This window comes from Homo sapiens, chromosome 6 (assembly GCF_000001405.40).
Source record: "Homo sapiens chromosome 6, GRCh38.p14 Primary Assembly".
Classification (NCBI taxonomy): domain Eukaryota; kingdom Metazoa; phylum Chordata; class Mammalia; order Primates; family Hominidae; genus Homo; species Homo sapiens.
In genome coordinates this window covers 17,014,417-17,034,809 of record NC_000006.12, presented here as the reverse complement: position 1 = coordinate 17,034,809, position 20,393 = coordinate 17,014,417, and the positions used below count along the sequence as shown (strand labels likewise).

At 42.9% G+C, this 20,393-nt stretch overlaps 1 long non-coding RNA gene across 1 annotated transcript; it reads right to left on the bottom strand.

Annotated features, from left to right (window-relative positions):
• Positions 1-584: 584 nt before the first annotated feature.
• LOC105374951 (uncharacterized) lies at positions 585-18,993 on the bottom strand. The gene is made up of 3 exons (XR_926534.3): positions 18,885-18,993; positions 16,533-16,686; positions 585-971 (listed from the first exon to the last, which is right to left on the bottom strand). It is a non-coding gene; the product is annotated as an uncharacterized LOC105374951 (long non-coding RNA).
• Positions 18,994-20,393: the final 1,400 nt, after the last annotated feature.

Genomic DNA, 20,393 nt, shown 5'->3' with positions numbered 1-20,393 from the left:
CAGCAACTATTTGGTTACTCAGTGGAATAGTTCTTACAGGCAAGTCAGGATAAATGCTTGATTCTTTCCCCCTTGCAATTATTATCTTTATTAAAGCTCAAATTGTTCCATATTTGACCTTACCCTCTTGTTATAGAATAAAAAGAGATCATGGTAGCCATTATTATAATCACCGTTATTAATAACACATCCATAGTAAATAAAGCCTGGCCAGCTTGCCTTTTTTCATAAGAACATGACCCTGTTCTAGTCAATGCTTAATCAGAAAGGCACTGTGTAGCGAGCACAACAGCCATGTAATTTGAAGTTATCACATCTAACTTGTAAGGTAACTATTCTTGTCATCATATAGATAAGGAAATGAAGGCTCTCAGGGGTTGAATAATATTACCAAAAACAAATATCTAATGTAAGTAATAAGACCGCAATTTTATTTTTTATTTTTTTGAGACAGGGTCTCTCTCTGTCACCCAGGCTGGAGTGCAGTGGCACGATCATGGCTCACTGTAGCCTCAATTTCCCAAGTTCGGACGATTCTCCTGCCTTAGCCTACCGAGTAGCTGGGACTACAGATGCACCACCATGCTCAGCTAATTTTTGTATTTTTTGCAGAGATGGGGGTCTCACTATGTTGCCCAGGCTAAGATTGCCATTTTAACTCAGTTTTGTCTTGCTTCAAAGCACAAAGTGTTTCTTCTATACCATACCTCTTTGCAAACTCATCCGGAGCAGGCAGGGAGCAATGGTTTTATCTATATTGTAGTATCGCCTGCAGATGCAGACACTGTGATAAATCTTTTTTAGATGGAGAATCTGATGAACATGATGATAATACCGGAATGATGATGATAAAGTAGAACAAAGTGAATTGGAGAAATGAATTGCTTCAGCCATGTTCCTGTCCTCAGGTGTTCAGCTGCTTCTGATAAAAGCACAATCTTCCACTGCAGTTAACGCTGTGTAGGCTTGGCCTGAGAGAATCAAGAATAAAGCTGATTGCAAACTTGGTGCATAACAGAGAAAATAAAGACATCATTTACTGACTGATTTGGACTAAGAAAAGATGTATTTACTTGCAGTTTATTATGTTGAATGTGACAGGCATACATTTGTGCTTTTTATTGAATGATGACTTACTACATACAGGAATTGGTGCAATTTGTAATGCAGATTATGTTTTTAAACAAAAAAGGGTGCAAATACACTGATGGCTGTCACATGACTCGCTCTGCACTTCTCAAAAAGTGGCTGGAGCGTGGGCGGAACGACAAATATACCCTAGATGCACAAATGTAATTTCCAAAGAAGAAGATTCTGGGCAGCTTCCAATTCAGTCGGGCAGATTTAGACAGAAGAAATCCATGGCTAAGAAAAGCTAAGTATCCTAAAATAGCAGGAATTGGAGTAGGATCATGTGAATCACTCCCATTAACTGCTGAGATGCCTCCAGACAGAGCAAGAAGAGCCACAGCTAAAATCAGGATGTGGCGTGAAAGCGTCCATGTTGGATCTCTGTAAGATTCCTAAAGTTAAATACCTGGGAATCCCATTTTTCTTCTAATGATGGGAGGTGGGAGCATGGGAAAGACGGAGGAATCTCCATTCTATGTGAAATGCAACGGAATGAGGGCTTGGCTCACAGCTGATTTTCTGAGTAATGAGTTTGGTGACCTCACCAGCTTCTAGGCATTGGGCCAGATCTTGTCTCGTGATGCACATTTGTACAATTCCTCGAGGATGCAGACTTGGGTTTTCCACTTGAAGTGAGTTTGTGAATTTACAAGTGGGCAGGCTTCAGTCTATTTTCCGTGATAATCAACCATCATATTTGTTTCCTTCAAAACATAACTGCAGTTAAAACATCCTAGTTTCTTTGAGATAAAGGCAAATTTTATTAATTGCTTTTCTTCATCTGACTGTTTGGGCTTTACAGCTCACTTCCTCCAGTGATCCAGCCATTAAGGAGTGTTCATTCATGCTAACAGCTTCCATTTAAACTGCTTGTGACTAATATTAGAGGGAATGGATGATTAAAGGGGCAACCCATGCAAATATTTGAAAATAAATAGAAACGTTTTTATTCCGAGGCTTTTATTTGCCTTGAGGGAAGGCAAAGCTGGGCATGACATAATTTTCAAATTATGTTTCATGGCTTTTTCATCACTTCAAATATGAGTCTCTTTTGTTTAACAGAGATGTCGTGGCCTGGGAAAAATGACACGTCAGAATGGTTTCTTCTCTTACGATCTTGGCGCTTCACAATTAGTAATAATTCTGCTATGGAGATTTTGACTCTGACCTCCCCCAGTTGGTAATTTACCATAGACAACTTTCCCTCCTAATAATCTGTAGGGCCTACCCCCTAGCTCACACCTGTTGGAAAGCCCTGGCTCTTGTGCGAGAGCCCCCCAGTGCATTTCAAAGAAAGGCTCAGCTTGCCAGCTCTTGTCAAAAGTTATCACAGACCGCGATTCCATTTAAGGCCCGGGCGCAGCATCAGAGGCCAGAACAACTCTACGTCTATACTGCAAATCCCTGCCCAGCGAATTCATGCTGCAACCAGCGCACAGCAGCGGGCCGGCGCCTGTTTTGCACGGTGGTGAGGCGGCGGGTCTATTTTTAGGCAGCTGATGGTAGATTTGCCTTCCACAGATCTGCTTTCCCCCCTCTGATTACAAAAAGAGGGCCTGCGTCTGTGCAAATGAAAATCAATGGGTGAGCCAAGGAGTGCCAGCGCGCTCTGAAGCCCTCTTTGTTCCTCAAAGGCTCCAAGCCTCTGTGCGGCGATGCCCCGCCTTGCCTCAGAAGCTGCCTTGCCTCAGAGGCTATTTGGATGCAGAGGTGTTTTGACCAAGGGCATTTGGTCTTGTTTTGTTTTGTTTTGTTTCATGTTCCAGGCAGGACATGAAATAGGAAAAAAGGAATGGAAATCGCCATTTCCACCCTCCCCACAACTTCCCTGCCATGACAACTCGCCGGCCTCGCGTGTACCTCCAGAGCCCTCTAGGACAAGCCTGGGGGCTGTGTGGGTGGCAGCAGCAGTAAGGAGAAAGAAGCGGGAAGAGAGGCACCTGCTTGTCCTCAAGTAGAAGCAAACGAGTGGCCTCAGTATCCTTTTCATTCTCCTCCTGAGCCACTGCCAGCTTGAGTGAACTTTCCTAGGACTAGTACTAGTGTCTGTGGGGAAGGGACTGCTGTAATAAAGTGCCACAGATGAGGGCTAAACAGCAGAAATGGATCTCTCACAGTTCTGCAGGCTGCAAGTCTGAGATGAAGTATCATCTGGGCTTGTTCCTTCTGAGGACTGGGAGAAAAAATCTGTCCCAGGCTTCGCCCCTGGCTTCTGGTGGTTTGCCTTCAGTCTTCAGCGTTCCTTGGCTTGCAGAAGCATCACCCCACTATCTGCCTTCATCTCCACTTGGAGGTCTCTGTGTGTGGATGTGTCTGTGTCCAAATTTCCTCTTTTTAAAAGGACACCGGTCATGTTGGATTAGGCCTGTCTTAATGACCTCATTCTAACTTGATAACCTCTATAAAGGTCATCAGAATGTGACCTTTTCCAAACAAAGTCACATTTGGAGGTTCTGGGGGTTAGGACTTCAGCATATCTGTTTTGAGAGGACACAATTCAACCCATAACAGAACCCATGTTGAATTTCTTTTATAAATTCTATCATCTGTGCAAGTGCAACCTCTAGCACATTAGTCATGATGCTCTTCCCCAATTCGGGGCTGCTGCTGTTCTTCATGGGGTGGGATGATGGGTGCTATTGGCATTCTTTGAACCTGGCATGCCAGAGAAGAGTGAGAAGTTTTCCTTGCCTCTGGCTTTATCTTTTCCACGCTTCTCTCTGAAGAGAAAAGACAATTCTGAGGCTACTAACTTGGCATTTGTGTCGAGGGTCAAGGCCCATAAGGGAAGGTAGGTTTATTCAGCCAGTGCTTGCTGTAAAGACCCACAGTAGCTGGCTGGCCCTGAAGGCAGAGCCCTCTGCTCCTACATAGGCAAAAGCAAATTGTACTGGCAGCTTCCCCTTCTCCCCAGATCTGCCACTCACACCTATGCACCCTCCTTCCACCTGCACACCAGAAAGGGTGGGGGAGTCGGCACTGTTGTGGGTGTCCCAGATCAGAACTCACTTCCTGAGTCTCAGGTTTGCAGGTGGTATTGTTTCTTACCTGCTGGACTCTGCATCTGGCCAGCCTGCCCACTGGACCAGCTCTCCAGGCTACGTAGATCAATAGGGACTACCTGATTCTTTATGTACATTTTTTTCTCAGGAATTTGATTCCTTAATTATCATAGTTACAACCAGATCCTACCTGGCAAGCAGCCTCTGGGGCTTGATCCCACCTCTACTGAGCATTTCAGTGTCCCCTCCTAGAACCTTTCTGTTTACCAGAGAGCCAACGGGGCAGTGGATGTGGAAAGAAATGGTTGTCTCGCCTTCTTCACAGGCTCATTGGCTGGAACAAAGGCTTGCTGTGACCTGTGTGATGTTTCACAAACATTAGGTGCTACTATAATCAGATAGACCTGATGACATAATATGCAATATAAACAGAACACTATATATTCTTGTCAACGTGTGGTTCTCAGGCTAGCCCAGTGCATTAGTCAGGGTTCTTCAGAGAAATGGAACCAACAGGATGTATATGTAGTAGATGGATATAAGGGGCGATTTATTATAGTAATTGGCTCATGAGATTATGGAGACTGAGAAGTCCTATAATCTGCTGTCTGTAAACTGTAGAACCAGGAAAACTGGTGGTGTAATTCCATCTGAATCCGAAGGCCTGCGAACTGGGCTAGCCAATGGTGTAACTGCCTGTTGAGTCTGCAGGCCCAAGAACTATAATAGGAGCTCTGATGTTTGAGGGCACGAGGAGATGGATGTCCAGGCTGAAGGAGAGAGTATTTGTCCTTCCTCCACCTTTCCATTCTGTGTGAGCCCTCCGTGGATTGGAGGATGCTGCCCACAGCCATCATCACTTAGTGAGTGATCTTTACTCAGTCTATTGATTCAAGTGCTAATTTCTTCTGGAAGCATCATCACAAACAACCCAGAAATAATGTTTTACCAGCTCTCTGGACATCCCTTAGCCCAGTCAAGGTGACACACAAAATTAATCATCATACCCAGTAAGCTATTGGTCATTTCCATTTACAAATGAAGAGATGTAGATAAGAATTTAAGTGAAGGTGCAGAGTCAGTAAGGGATCCAAAGTTAAGATTTTGGATTCAGAATTAGCATTCTTTCCAACGTTCCAGAAGGGATGGTCACAAAAATGTGCTGCTCAGATCTTCTGCTGTCATGAGTATATATCACCAATGGCCATGACTGCTGTACTCCAAGTCTATCTCTGTGTTCATGCCCAGGCCACATTTCCCCCAAGCTGCTACAGCCAGTGATTTTTCTGGCTCTGCAGGGTCCCAATGCAACCTTTTCCTGAGAAGGGCCAGTCTCCTCTTTCTGACATTAGCTTGAGGACTCCACAGTCACTGGATGGGGACTTTCTTGGAACTCTGCTGCAGTCTGAGATTCTCCCTGCCCCACCCTTCCTCCTCTTTTTTACAAGAGTCTTCCAGCATTGTGTTCTAAATACTGTCCCCACTTCTATGGACTCTCTCCTCTTTTTCCATCACAGACATTTACCCCAATAAATCTCTTGCATGGCTAATTCTGTCTTGTTATCTGCTTCTCAGAGGATCCAAACCAATGCACTAGGCTTCCCCTTTCTCCCTATAAAATGATGACTGCTAATGTCAATTCATTATTTCTGTAATATTTTTATGTACTCAATATTTTTAAGGATTGGATGGGTGGGAGGAAGGATAAAGAGGGCAAAGAAGTAAAGAAGCAAAAGGGAGGAATAGAAAACACTTACATGCTATGGTCTTTGCTTCCAAGACAAGACAATTGCACATGAATGAAACGTAAGGGAGACATAATATAGCTATATGATAAAGTGGCAACTTACGTGTAGAAGACTGTAGGAATAAGTGGAGATAAACAATAAGAAACCTGGAGTTTTTAAGAAAGATAAGTCACCAAGGAGATGGGTGAATGCCAAAAATTGGGCTTTGAAAGATGGGTAGGGCTGGGCACGATGGCACATGCCTATAATCTCAGCACTTTGGGAGGCCGAGGCGGGTGGATCACCTGAGGTCAGGAGTTTGAGACCAGCCTGGTCAACACGGCAAAACCCTGTCTCTACTAAAAATATTAAAAAATTAGCTGGGCGTGGTGGCGGGTTCCTGTAGTCCCAGCTACTCGGGAGGCTGAGGCAGGAGAATTGCTTGAACCTGGGAGTCGGAGGTTGTAGCGAGCAGAGATTGTGCCACTGCACTCCAGCCTGGGTGACCGAGTGGGGCTCAATCTCAAAAAAAAAAAAAAAAAGAAAAGAAAAGAAAGAAAGAAAGATGAGGATCTTTATAACTACCAGGTAGATGGGGTGGCATTTCAGGTGAGGGAAACAACATTGCAGGTAGAATAACTATGTCCCTTTCTGTCTGTCTTAGACCAGTCAGGCTGCTGTATCAGAAAACCATAAACTGGGTGGCTTACAAACAACAGAAATTTATTTTTCACAGTTCTAGGGACTGAGAAGTCCAACGTCAAGGCATTGCAGATTCGGTGACTGGTGAGGGCCCACTTCCTGGTTCATAGACTGCTGCCTTCTCATTGTGTCATCATATAGTGGAAAGGGCGGGGGAGCTCTCCAGAGCTTTTAAAAGGGCACTAATTCCATGTATAAAGACCTAATTACCTACCAAAGGTCCCGCTTCCTAAGACCATCACACTGGGGATTAGGATTTCAATATGTGAATTTTGGAGGGACAAAAACATTCAGTCCCTGGCATACAAAATACCTGGAAAATAGTGAGATGAACTCTAGGACTCTAGACATTCTGAGGTTAATAGACCAATTTGTGCCTCAGGTATCTCACGTGTAACGTGGCGGGTAATAATACTGTTTCACAGAGTTTTTAATGTGGGTTAAAGATTTAAGATTTTTTAAAGCATTTAGAACAGTTCCTGCAGCAGAGGAAGTGCGATTTAAGTGTTTGTTAAATAAATAACTGGAAATAAGTTTAAATCTGGGAGGCAGAGAGAAGGAGTTTGAGGTGAAGAATGGAAAAAGCCAGAAAACAATGCAAGGAAATGCATTCTGGCAGGAAATGTAGCAGGAAATGAGAGTCACTTATTTGCAGAGGAGAAATAGCATGATAGAGATGGCTTTAGAAAAGCTTTCTCTGGTACTGATATGAGGTAGAAATTAGAAATGGGAAACCTAAGACAAAGAAGACCATACCTCAACAAATATTTATTCTATCTTGAGAGTATATGTACATGTATCAAGGGAATGAATAAAAGAAGAGAAGTAAATATGATCCCAAACTTTAAAATGTGGATTATTGAAAGGATGTTAGTGTCATTAATAAAGACAGAAGAGAGAGGAGATGCTTGCTTGTTTGGGGAAAGAAGACAAAATTTTTGGATAGGATTGGATGGGGAAAGAGATCTGAAGTGACAATGTCTACTGAGTAATTGAAGATATGGAATTGAAGACAAAGAAAGATTTCAGGATCCAGAGTTTGGATTCACTGGCATTAGCTACTGAGATAAACCAAGAGGTGAAAAGCTCACGACTTAGCCATGAAACAGCACTGCCATGCTGGCCAGAGCAAAGTCCCCAAAACTAGCTCTAGTTTACTGCCTACTGAAGGCAAAATAGTACAATGACTCACAGACTACCGATCAGTGTGATACCTTTGTTAACATGTAAATAACCCTGAAAGTATTGAAACAACTGAGAGCTCATTTAGTTTTAAAAGTGTTCAATCTTACTAGGAATAGAGGTGAACTTCCTCAATTTGATAAAGACTATCTACAGAAAATCCATAGCCAACACTATTCTTGACGGTGAGAAACGAGAAGCTTTCTCACTAAGATCAAGAATAAGGCAAGGATGTCCCCACTCACCATTCCTTTTCAACATTATACTGGAAGTTCTAGCAATACAATAAGACCAAAAAGGAAATAAAAGGTGTACTGATTGGGAAGAAGAAATAAAACTTTTTCTATAGATGACATGACTGTCTACATAGAAAATGCAAAAGAATCAACAGAAAACTTCTGGAACTAATACACAAATATAGCAAGATTGCAGGATACCAGGTTAGTATACGAAAATCAATCACTTTCTAAGTTAGTCCATTTGCATTGCTATAAAGGAATACCTGAGGCTGGGTAATTTATAAAGAAAGGAGGCTTATATTGGCTCATGGTTCTGCAGGCTGTATGAGAAGCATGGTGCTGGCACCTGCTCCTGGTGAAGCCTCAGAAAGCTTCCAATCATGGTAGATGGCAAAAGGGGGAGCCAGTATGTGTCACATGATGAGAGAGGGTGTGAGGCAGGGGAGGTTTCAGGCTCTTTTAAACAACCAGATTTCCTGTGAATTCACAGAGTGAGAACTCACTCATTACCACAAGGACAGAACCAAGGCATTCATGAGCAATCCACCCCCTAAACCAAACGCTTTTCACTAGGCTCACCTCTAACATTGGAGGTCACATTTCAACATGAGATTTGAAGGGGAAAAAACATGCAAACCATATCATTCAGCACATGGACCCCCAAATCTCATGTTCTTCTCTCATTGTAAATACAATCATCCCTTCCCAATAGTCCCCCAAAGTCCTAACTCATTCAAACTCAGCATCATCTCAATCAAAAGTCCAAAGTCTTGTCTGAGACCCAAGGTAGGTTCCACCTATCTATGAGCCTGTAAGATAAAAAAACAAGCTATCTGCTTCCAAGATGCAGTGCTGGTACAGACAATGGGTAAAAATTCCCAGACCAAAAGGGGATAATCAGCCAAAAAAAAAGGGGCAATGGGCTCCACACAAGTCTGAAACCCAGCATGGCAGTCATTAAACCTTAAAACTCCAAAATAATATCCTTTGACTCCATGTCTTGCATCCTGGGCACACTGATTAAAGGAGTGGGATCTCAAGGCCTTGGGCAGCTGCCTGCCCCTGTGGCTTCGCAGAGTGTAGCCCCCATGGCTTCTCTCAGGTGTTGGAGTTGAGTGTCTGCAGCTTTGCCAGGCTCAATGTCTAAGCTGCTGATAGCTCTACCACTCTGGAGTCTGGAGGGTGGCAGCCCCTTTTCCACAGATCCATGAGGCAGTGTGCTGGTGGGGACTGTATGTGGGGCCTTCAACTCCATATTTCCCCTTGGCACTGCCCTAGTAGAGTCAGCGAGTGTTCCACCCCTGCGGCAGCCTTCTGCTGGGCACCCAGGCTTTCTGATACATCTTCTGAAATCTATGGAGAAGCTGACAAGCCTCCTTCATTATTGCATTCTGTGCACCTGAAGACTTAACAACACATGGAAGCCAGCAAGGCTTATGGCTTGTGCCCCCTGGAGCAGCAGTTTGAGATGCACCTGGTGCCCTTTGAGTTCTGGCTGGAAACTGGGTGGCCTGGATGCAAGAAACATTGTCCCAAGGTGGTGTAGGGCAGCAGGCCCCTGGGTCTGGCCCCCCAAGCCTTTCTTTCCTCTAGGCCTCTGGGCCTATGATGAGAGGGGCAGCCTCAAAGACTTCTGAAATGCCTTTGAGGCATTTTTCTTACTGTCTTGTCTATTAGCATCTGGCTCCCTTTCAGTCATGCAAATCTCACTAACAAATGATTACTCTACAGCCAGCTTGTATTTCTCTCCTAAAAACACTATTTCCTTCTTTACCACATGACCAGGCTGCAAATTTTCCAAACTTTTACTCTCTGCTTCCCTTTCAATTATAAGTTCCAACTTTAAGTCATTTCTTTACTCCTGTATCTGATTATAGGCTGTTAAAAGCAGCCATGCCACATCTTGAATGCTTTGCTGTTTAAAAATTTCTTCTGCCTGATACCCTAGGCCATTACTCTTAAGTTCAAACTTCTACAAATCCCTAGGACATCAACACAGTGCAGCCAAATTCTTTGCTAAGGTGTATCAAGGATGACCTTTGCTCTAGTTCCCAATAAATTCCTCATTTCCATCTGAGACCTTGTCAACTTGGCCTTCACTGTCCAAATTTCCATCAGCATTTTGGCCATAGCCACTTGATACGTCTCCAAGAAGTTCCAAACTTTCCTGTATCTTCCTATCTTTTTCTGATCCCTTCAAACTCTTTCAACCTCTGCCCATTACCCAGTTCCAAAGATGCTTCTACATTTTCAGGTATCTTTACAGCAACACCCCTCTCCTCAGTACCAGTTTTCTGTGTTAGTTCATTTGTATTGCTATAAAGAAATACCTGAGGCTGGGTAATTTATAAAGAAGAGGTTTATTTGGCTCATGGTCCTACAGGCTGTAGGAGAAGCATGTGCTGGCATCTGCTCTTGATGAGGCCTCAGGAAGCTTTCAATCATTGCAGAAGGCAAACAGGGGAGCCAGCATATCATATGTTGAGAGAGGAAGCAAGAAGAGGGAGGTGCCAGGCTCTCTTAAACAACCAGATCTCGTGTGAATTCGTAGAGCGAGAACTCACTCATTACAGCAAGGACAGCACCAAGCTGTTCATGAGGATCCATCCCCATCACTCAAACACCTCCCACTAGGCTCATTTCCAACACTGGAGGTCACATTTCAACAAGAGATTTGGAGGGGACAAAACATCCAACCATATCACTTTCCTATATGCCAACAGTGAACACATGGAATTTGAAATTAAAAATACAATACTATTTACATTAGCATCCCCCAAAATGAAATACTTAGGTATAAGTCAAAATATGTATAAAAGTATGAGAAAATTGATAAAACTTGGATGAAAGAAATTAAAAAAGAACTAAATGAATGGAAAGATATTACATATTCATCAATAGGAAGACTCAATATTGTCAGAATGTCCATTCTTCTCAATTTGATCTATAGATTCAATAGAATTCAATTCAAAATCCCAGCCAATTACTTTGTAGCTATTGACAAATGAATGCTGAAGTTTATACAAAGAGGCAATTGACTCAAATTAACCAACACAATATTGAAGAACAACAAACAAAGTTGGAGGACTGAGGCTACCTGACTTCAACTGTTACAATAAAGCTATAATAATTAAGACAATGTGGTATTGGCAAAATAATGGACAAATAGATCAATGAATAGGATAGAGAGCCTAGAAATAGAGCCATGTAAACATAGTCAATTGATCTTTGACAAAGGAGCAAAGGGAATACAATGGAGAAAAGATATTCTTTTTAATAAATGGTGTTGGAACAACTGGAAAAAAATCTAGGCACAGATCTTACACACTTCACAAGAATTAACTCAAAATGGATCACAGCCCTAAACATAAAACACAAAACTATAAAACTCCTGGAAGATAACGTAGTGGAAAATCTGAATAGTCTTGCGTTTGGTGGTAACTTTTATTTAATATACCAAAGGTACAATTCATGAAAGAAACAATTGATAAGCTGAACTTCATTAAAATTAAAAATTTCTGCTCTGTGAAAGCCACTATTAAGAGAATGAAAAGACAAGGCCACAGGCAGGGAGAAAATATTTGCAAAAGACATATACGGTAAAGGACCATTATCAAAAACATACAAAGAAATCAAACTCAACAATAAGAAAACAGCCTGATTTTAAAAGGGTCCAAAGACCTTAACAGACACGACACCAAAGAAGATACACATAAGGTACATAAGCATATGAAAAGATGCTCCACATCATATGCCTCAGGAATTCAAATTAAAACAACAGTAAAATACCACTACACACCTGTTAGAATAGCCAAAATCCAGAACACTGACAACACCACATGTTGGTGAGGACATGGAACAACAGGAATTCTCACTTACTGTTGGTGGTAATATAAAATGGTGTAGCCACTTTGGAAGACAGTTTGGTGGTTTCTTACAAAACTAATCACACTCATACCATGCAATCCAGCAATCTCACTTCTTCATATTTACCCACAGAAGTTGACAGCTATGTCTACACAAAAACCTCACATGGATATTTATAGCAGCTGTACTCATAATTGCTGAAACTTGGACGAAATCAAGATGTCCTTCAGCAGGTGAATGGGTAAATAAGCTGTGGTACATCCAGACAATGGAATTCATTCAGCACTGAAAAGATACGAGTGATCAAGCTATGAAAAGACATAGCGGAAACTTAAATGCATATTACTAAATGAAAGAAGCCAATCTGAAAAGTCTGCATGCAGTGTGATTCCAACTGTATGACATTCTGGAAAACGCAAAACTATGGAGACTATAAAAATATCAGTTGTTGCCAGGTGTTTGGGAGAGGGAGGGATGAACAGGTAGAGCACAGAGGATGTTTTGAGGGCAGTGAAACTACTCTGTATGATACTATAATGGTGGATGCATGTCACTATGCATTTGACCAAACCCCCAGAAGGTACAACATCAACAGTGAACCCTGGCTGGGCGCGGGTGACTCATGCTTGTAATCCCAGCACTTTGGGAGGCTGAGGCCGGTGGATCGCCTGAAGTCAGGAGTTCGAGATCAGCCTGGCCAAAATGGTGAAACCTTGTCTCTACTAAAAATACAAAAAAATTAGCCAAGCATGGAGGCAGGCGCCTATAATCCCAGCTACTTGGGAGGCTGAGACAGGAGAATCACTTAAACCGGTAGGTGGAGGTTGCAGTGAGCCGAGATTGTACCATTGCACTCCAGCCACTCCAGCTTGAGCAACAAGAGGGAAACTCTGTCTCAAAAAAAAGGAGTGAACCCTAATGTAAACTCTGCACTTTGTGTGATCCTGATGTGTCAATGTAGGTTCATAGCTGTGAGTCTGGTGGGGGGTGTTGATAATAGGGGAGGCTGTGCATGTAGGGGAGTAGAGGGCATATAGGATATCTTTGTATCTTCTTCTCATTTTCGCTGCAAACCTAAAACTGCTCTAGAAAAGATAAAATCTTAAAGTATTCCATCTTTATTCCACAATTCTGTTTCTCAAGCAGGGCTATATGTGGAAAATCTCCATGAGAGAAGCTGTACGCCTTAATTCATTCATATCTAGCCACACCGCAGCCTGGATTGGTTCATTACATTAGCTCACAGTCATCTGGGAAAAGCAGAAAATATTTTAAACATAATGACTAACCTGGCTTTCTGCCCTATATCCATGAGTTTCAAACCAGGAGTTTTCAAGCTTTTTTTGACAGTAACATTAAGAAATAAATTTTACATCACAACATAAGACACGTGTACCTAACGCTGAAATCCTTACGACATGCAATGCACTTTGTTATTTTCTTTTCTAGTCTATTTTATTTATTTTAAAGAGTGCTAACTGCCACCCATGAAACCAATTCCATGATCACTGGACAGGTCATGACCTGTAGTTTGAAAAACAATGGTTTGGGCTACAGGAGCATCCGCTGCAGGCTGAGCCCTACTAATCCGGCAGAAATTCAAACACAGCTGAGTAGTTTGAGGTCAAGGTTGCTGCTTGGCCAACTCTCACCTTAAGTCCTATTCTAGTAATTAAGCTCTTGCTTTGTTTCTTGTACTCCAATTCTAATACAGAATCACTATTTTGGATCCTAGAACAATAGGCTCTTCTGTGCTCTATTTCTCTTACCTTAAAGTCTTGCTTCATGTGGCTGTGTCCCCACTGCACAGTCTCAGACTTTCCCAGCTCTGGCTGCAATTGCCCAGCACCTACCACAGTACCCTGAGCAGGGGAGGCCTTCAATGGCTGCCAAATAACTCCAGGTATTGCCTTGGCTTGTTGCATAGCACTAAATCAGCACGGTGCTACCTTTCTCCTTCTTTGGACTTCCTGCTAAGTGCATGTTAGCCCTGTGGAGTCTCTCAGTTCCATCTGCAACCTACCTGGAGTTAAACCACCCCCAGCTTTGCCACTGTGGAAGGGAGTTCAGGGAGGGGTCTGGAACCCATCATAATGGAGACTCTTAAGTGAGAGGGTGCAAGCAACAGGGTGACAGGAGAGCACAGAGCATCTGAGATGGAAAGTCAGGGCACAGTGAAGGAAGAGGCCGGTGCCCAAGATAATCTTCATAGGATAAATACAGGCAGAGTAATGAGGCCCACGGACCTGGCACTTAGTACTGACTCTTCAACTTCTAGCTCTATGCCTCATTTTATGCACCTGTAAATTTGGAATCTCATTAGCACTTTTTAAGTGGGTCTGTTGTAGGGATAAGGTGAAATAATGCATTTAATGCAACTAGCAGTAATTATTTCACAATTTTGCTTGCAGCAAAGTTTGGTAACAAGAGAGTTCTTTTTTTTTTTTTTTTTTTTTTTTTTTTTTTTTTTTTTTTTTTTGAGACAGAGTCTCACTCTGTCGCCCAGGCTGGAGTGCAGTGGCGCAATCTCGGCTCACTGCAGCACTGCCTCCCGGGTTCACGCCATTCTCCTGCCTCAGCCCCCTAAGTAGCTGGGACTACAGGTGCCTGCCACCACACCTGGCTAATTTTTTGTACTTTTAGTAGAGACAGGGTTTCACCGTGTTATCCAGGATCGTCTCGATCTCCTGACCTCATGATCTGCCCACCTCGGCCCCCCAGAATGCTGGGATTACAGGCGTGAGCCACCGCGCCCGGCCACAATAGAGTTCTTAGACTGTGGCTATGGCCAGTGTTCAGCAGATTCTGGTGTCCTCTGCGTCCTTTTAATATTACCCTCCCTTCTCACCACCTACTGCCCTAAAAAGGATTCTTCAGTGGTTATTCCTGTTATGGTAGTTGGTGAGAACCCCCTTGAAAGCTACCCAGCCTGTGGGTGTTGACATTTTGAGAGAAGATGAAGACTAGAGGTCTTACAGAAATAAATGGCTCCTAATTGAACTTCGGTCATCATGATGAGAGTAAAGGGTGTTATTTTGGCTAGGAGAATCTCAGTGATTTGTGCTCCTCAAAACATTGTAATTGGGGTGGAATTTAGGTTTACAAGTTGGCACCATAACTCAAGGCATCTATTTATACACTTGGCTTTGACCCTAATGATATTAAAGCAGAAGTTAAAACATTTTCAGTTTTGCTCAAAGATCAGATATATCCACAACGTGTTTAAGATTTTTCATATTCTTAGAGAAAATCAATAAAGTCAATAACTACTCCACCATGAAACACCGGTGCATGTTTGTATTATTTCACTTAAATAATTCTAATTATTAATTGGTTTACCTCCCAAGAACTCCATCTCCCCCTCTCCCAAACTAACCCTTGCAACACTTTAATTTTTCAAGTACTATATGGGGAAAGTCTGCGTAAGGCATGTGTAATTCTAAAATGGATTAAGTACTCTTATATCACACTCTTCTGTTTACACCTCTCTCAAGATGGTGTGTATGTGTGTATTTGTGTGAGATGTGTGTGTGTATGTGTGTGTGTGTATATTATATATATGAAATCTGGATATGTTTATAATATTCAGACATATGCTTATAAATATTCATAAGGCAATTCATACATAAATGAATAATTTAAGTTCCCTAACATCACCCGATCTGTTTATAGAATTCCCTTTCTGTCCCAGTTGAGCATCACCTCATAAAGCTCTTTACAGACACCTTTTCCCAGCTAGCACTCTGTTAAGTAGGTGAGTATGTATAATGCCACTGATAAAGTCTACAGAATAGTATTAATTTCCTAGTCTTAAAACAATACAGATTATCTTACAATTCTGGAGATCAGAAGTACTAAAATCCATATGAAAGTTAGGATTTGTGTTCTATTACTGTAAAAATGACACTGGAATTTTAGTAGGGATGACATTGACTCCGTAGATCACTTTGGGTAATGGGGTCATCTTAACAATGCAGTCATGTGTCACTTAAGGACAGGAATATCTTCTGAGAAGTTCATTATTAGGCGACTTCATAATTGTGTGAAATCATAGAGTGTACTTACACAAACCTAGATGGGATAGGCTACTACACACCTAGGCTATGTGGGATAGCCTGTTGCTCCTAGGCTACAAACTGGTACATGTTACTGTACTTAATACTGTAGGTAACCGTAACACCGTGGTAAGTATTTGTGCATCTGAACATATCTAAACATAGAAAAAGTAAAAACACTGTATAAAAGATAAAAAATGGTCCACCTGTATAAGGCACTTACCGTGAATGGCGCTTGCAGGACTCAAGTTGCTCTGAGTGAGTCAGTGAGTGAGTGATGGGTGAATGTGAGGGCTTAGGACATCACTGTACACTACTACAGACTGTATAAACACTGTACACATAGGCTGCGCTAGAGTTGTAAAAAATATTTTTTCTTTAATAAAAAATTAACCTTAGCTTACTGTAACTTTTTTACTTCATCTTTAAAATTTTTTAAAACTTTTTGACTGTTTTGCAATAACACTTAGCTTAAAACACAAACACATTTTAAAGCTATACAAAAATAGCTTCTTTCCTTATATCCTTATTCTGTAACCTTTCTTCTATTTTTAAAATTTTTATATATTTTTTACTTTTTAAACTTTTTTGCTAAAAACTCAGACATAAACACGCATATTTGCCTACCTTTACACAGGTCAGGATCATCAATATTATTGTCTTCCACCTCCACATCTTGTCCCACTGGGAGGTCTTCACGGGCACAAACAGGCATGGAGCTGTCATCTCCTATGATAACAATGCCTTCTTCTGGAATCCCTCCTGAAGGACCTGCCTGAGGCTGTTTTATAGTTAATTTTTTAAAAATAAGTAGAAAGAGTACACTCTAAAATAACAGTAAAACTTATAGTATAGGAAATACATAAACTGGTCACATAGTTGTTTATTATAATCATCAAGTATTGCGCACTGCACATTATTTTATGTGCTATACTTTTTTTTTTGAGACAGAGTCTTGCTCCGTTGCCAGGCTAGAGTGCAGTGGCACAATCTCGGCTCACTACAGCCTCTGTCTCCCAGGTTCAAGCGATTCTCCTGCCTCAGCCTTCCGAGTAGCTGGGACTACTGGTGCGCGCCACCACACCCAGCTAGTTTTTGAATTTTTAGTAGAGACGGGGGTTTCACCGTATTGGGCAGGATGGTCTCGATCTCTTGACCTCGTGATCCACCCGCCTCGGCCTCCCTAAGTGCTGGGATTACAGGCGTGAGCCACTGCACCTGGCCTTTATGTGCTATACTCATATGATTGGCAATGCAGGTTTGTTTACACGAGCATCACCACAAACACGTGAGTAATGTGTTGCACTTTGCTATAACAGTGGCTATGTCACTAGTCAATAGGAATTTTTCAGTTTCATTAGAGTCTTATAGATCACCAGATATGTGGGCCAACACCGAAGTGCTGTTATGTGGTGCATGACTCTATTAATTCTTCCAAACCATGAAAATGAGAAATCTTTCCATTTATTTGTGTCTTCTTCAATTTCTTTCCTCAATGTTTTGTAGTTTTCAGTATACAGAAATTTCATCTTCTTGGTTAAATTTATTCCTATTTTATTCTCTTTGATAATATTACTAATGGGATTTTTTTTTTTTTTTATGCTTTGGGGTTTTCTTTTAGATAGCTCAGTGTTAGTATACAGACACAACACTGATTTTTTTTTTCTTTTTGAGTCAGGGTCTCACTCTGCCACCTAGGTTGGTCTCAAACTCCTGGGCTCAAGCAATCCTACCGCCCTAGCCTCCTGAATACCTTGTACTGCAAGCGTGAGCCATCATGCTCTGCTAGTTTTAAAAAACGTTTTGCAGCACTAGGTCTTGCCATGTTGCCCAGGCTGGTTTCAAACTCCTGGGCTCAAGTAATCCTCCTGCCTCGGCCTCCAAAAGTGCTGGAATTACAAGTGTGAGCCACTGCACCCAGCCTCTACTAAAAACTTAAACATTAGCTGGGTGTGGCGGTCTGTGCTTGTAGTCTTAGCTACTTATGAGACTGAGGCGGGAAGATTGCTTGAAACTAGGAGTTCAAGGTTGCAGTGAGCTATGACCGTGCCACTGCACTCTAGTCTCAGTGACAGAGCAAGACCCTGTCTCTAAAAGAAAAAAAAAAGTAGATGAATGGATAAAGAAAAAAGAGGGGAATCCTATTATTTGCGACAACATAGATAAGCCTGGAAGACATCACATTAAGTGAAATAAGCCAGACACAGAAAGACAAATACTGCATCACCTCACTTATATGAAGAATCTAAAAACAGCTGAAGTTTTAGAAGTAAAATGGTGGTTACCAGGGGCTTGGGGGTGGGGAAAACGAGAAGATGTTGGTAAAGAGTACAAACTCTCAGTTGTAAGATGAAGTTCTGGGCCTGGCGGGGTGGCTCATGCCTGTAATCCCAGCACCTTGGGAGGCCGAAACGGGCAATTCACGAGGTCTGGAGACTGAGAACATCCTGGCTAACACGGTGAAACCCTGTCTCTACTAAAAATACAAGAAATTAGCCAGGCATGGGGGCAGGCGCCTGTAGTCCCAGCTACTCCGGAGGCCGAGGCAAGAAAATGGTCTGAAACCGGGAGGCGGAGCTTGTGAGAGGTAACAGTGTGCGGGCAGCACTCCCTCTCAGCGCCTCCTCTGCTTCGGTGCCCACTCTGGCCGCGCTTGAGGAGCCCGCCGCTGCACCGTGGGAACCACTCTCTGCATTGTCTGAGACCAGACCCGGCTCCCTCTATTTGCAGAGATGTGTGGAGAAACAGGGGCGAGCGGGAACGGAAAAGGCGTGGAGACAGACGCGCAGGCGAGAACCGGCTCGCGGGCCAGCGCAAGTTCCGGGTGGGCGCGGCCTCGACAGGCCCTGCACCGGGAGGGGCGGACAAGTTTCCCACCACTGCCGGCCCGCCCGCGCCGGCCCGTCCCCGGTGTCAGCCACCTCCCGACGGGGCAGGGCTCACAACCCACCCGCCATGCCCGAGGCCTACACCCCCCACCTTGGGCTCCCCGACAGATGCTCCCTGCCCCTCGCCACAGTATAGGAGTGGTGGGCAGCTCCGCCTGCAGCCCTAAAACGATCCACTGGGGGAAGTCAGCTGGGCTCCTGAGATGAGCGGGGACTTGGAGAACTTTTATGTCTAGCTGGAGGATTGTAAATGCACCAATCAGCACTCTGTGTCTAGCTCAAGGTTTGTAAACGCACCAATCAGTACCATGTCAAAGCGGACCAATCAGCTCTCTGTAAAATGGGCCAATGGGCTCGCTGTAAAATGGGCCAATCAGCTCTCTGTAAAATGGACCAATCAGCAGGATGTGGGTGGGGCCGGATAAGGGAATAAAAGCTGGCTGCTGGAGCCAGCAGCGGCAATCTAATTGGATAGTGTTGTTTTGTGAGGAATATGTGTTTTTTTTTTTTTTTCTCCTCCAGTGTGGGCAATATATTTTGCTGTAGGTGATTGGGTGTGTAGTGCACATATGAGCTGTAACTCTCACCTTAAAAATCTGTAGTTTCACTCCTAAGGCCTTTGAAACCACAAACCCACAGGGAGAAATGAGTAACTCCAGACAAGCTGCCTTGAGAGCTGTATCATTTATCACTTAAGTCTGAAGGAAAAAACTAAACCCATCCAAACAACAAACGGAAGAAACTGGACATACTGCTTTTAACACACGTGGGGAGGGTCTGTGGTTTCATTATTGAAGTCAGTGAGACCAAGAGTCCACCAATTCTGGTCAGACCTACAGTGAGTAGAGATCGTGTCTTTGCATTCCCGTTTGGGCTATGGCGCCAGATTGTCCAGAAGGAAAAAAAAGATGTTGTGATGCTTGTAGTTGCAGTGCAGTGGGAGACTATGGCAAGCGGATTGTGAGGTCAGGAGTTTGAGCCCAGCATGGTCAATACGGTGAAACCGTGTGTCAAATGAAAATACAGAAATTAGCTGGGTGGAGTGGTATGTGCCTGTAGTCCCAACTACTTGAGAGGCAGGTGAATTGCTTGAGGTTGGGAGGTGGAGGTTGCAGTGAGCTGAGATTACCATTGCACTCCAGCCTGGGCAACAGAGTGAGACTCCGTCTCAAAAAAAAAAAAAGTGTGAAGTTCTGAGGGTTTGATGTACAGCATGAATGGTGATACATTACTTCATTTGATTGTGGCAATCCTTGCACAATGCATATATGTCAAATAATTATGTTGTACACCTTAAATATGTTCAATTTTTGACAATTTTTTTTAAGCTTTGACATTAAAGAAAAAGTATGAAAAGGTGTCATCAGGGTTGTATTCCTTCTGGAGAATCTGCTTGCTTAACTTTGCTGGCTTATAGCAGCTTCCTGCACTTCACGGCCTTTTTTTTTTTTTTTTTTTTTTTTTTTTTTTGAGATAGGATGTCACACTGTTGCCTGGGTTGGAGTGCGGAGTGGAACCATCTCAGCTCAGTGCAATCTCTGCCTTCCGGGTTCAAGCAATTCTCCCACCTCAGACTCCCAAGTAGCTGAGATTATAGGTG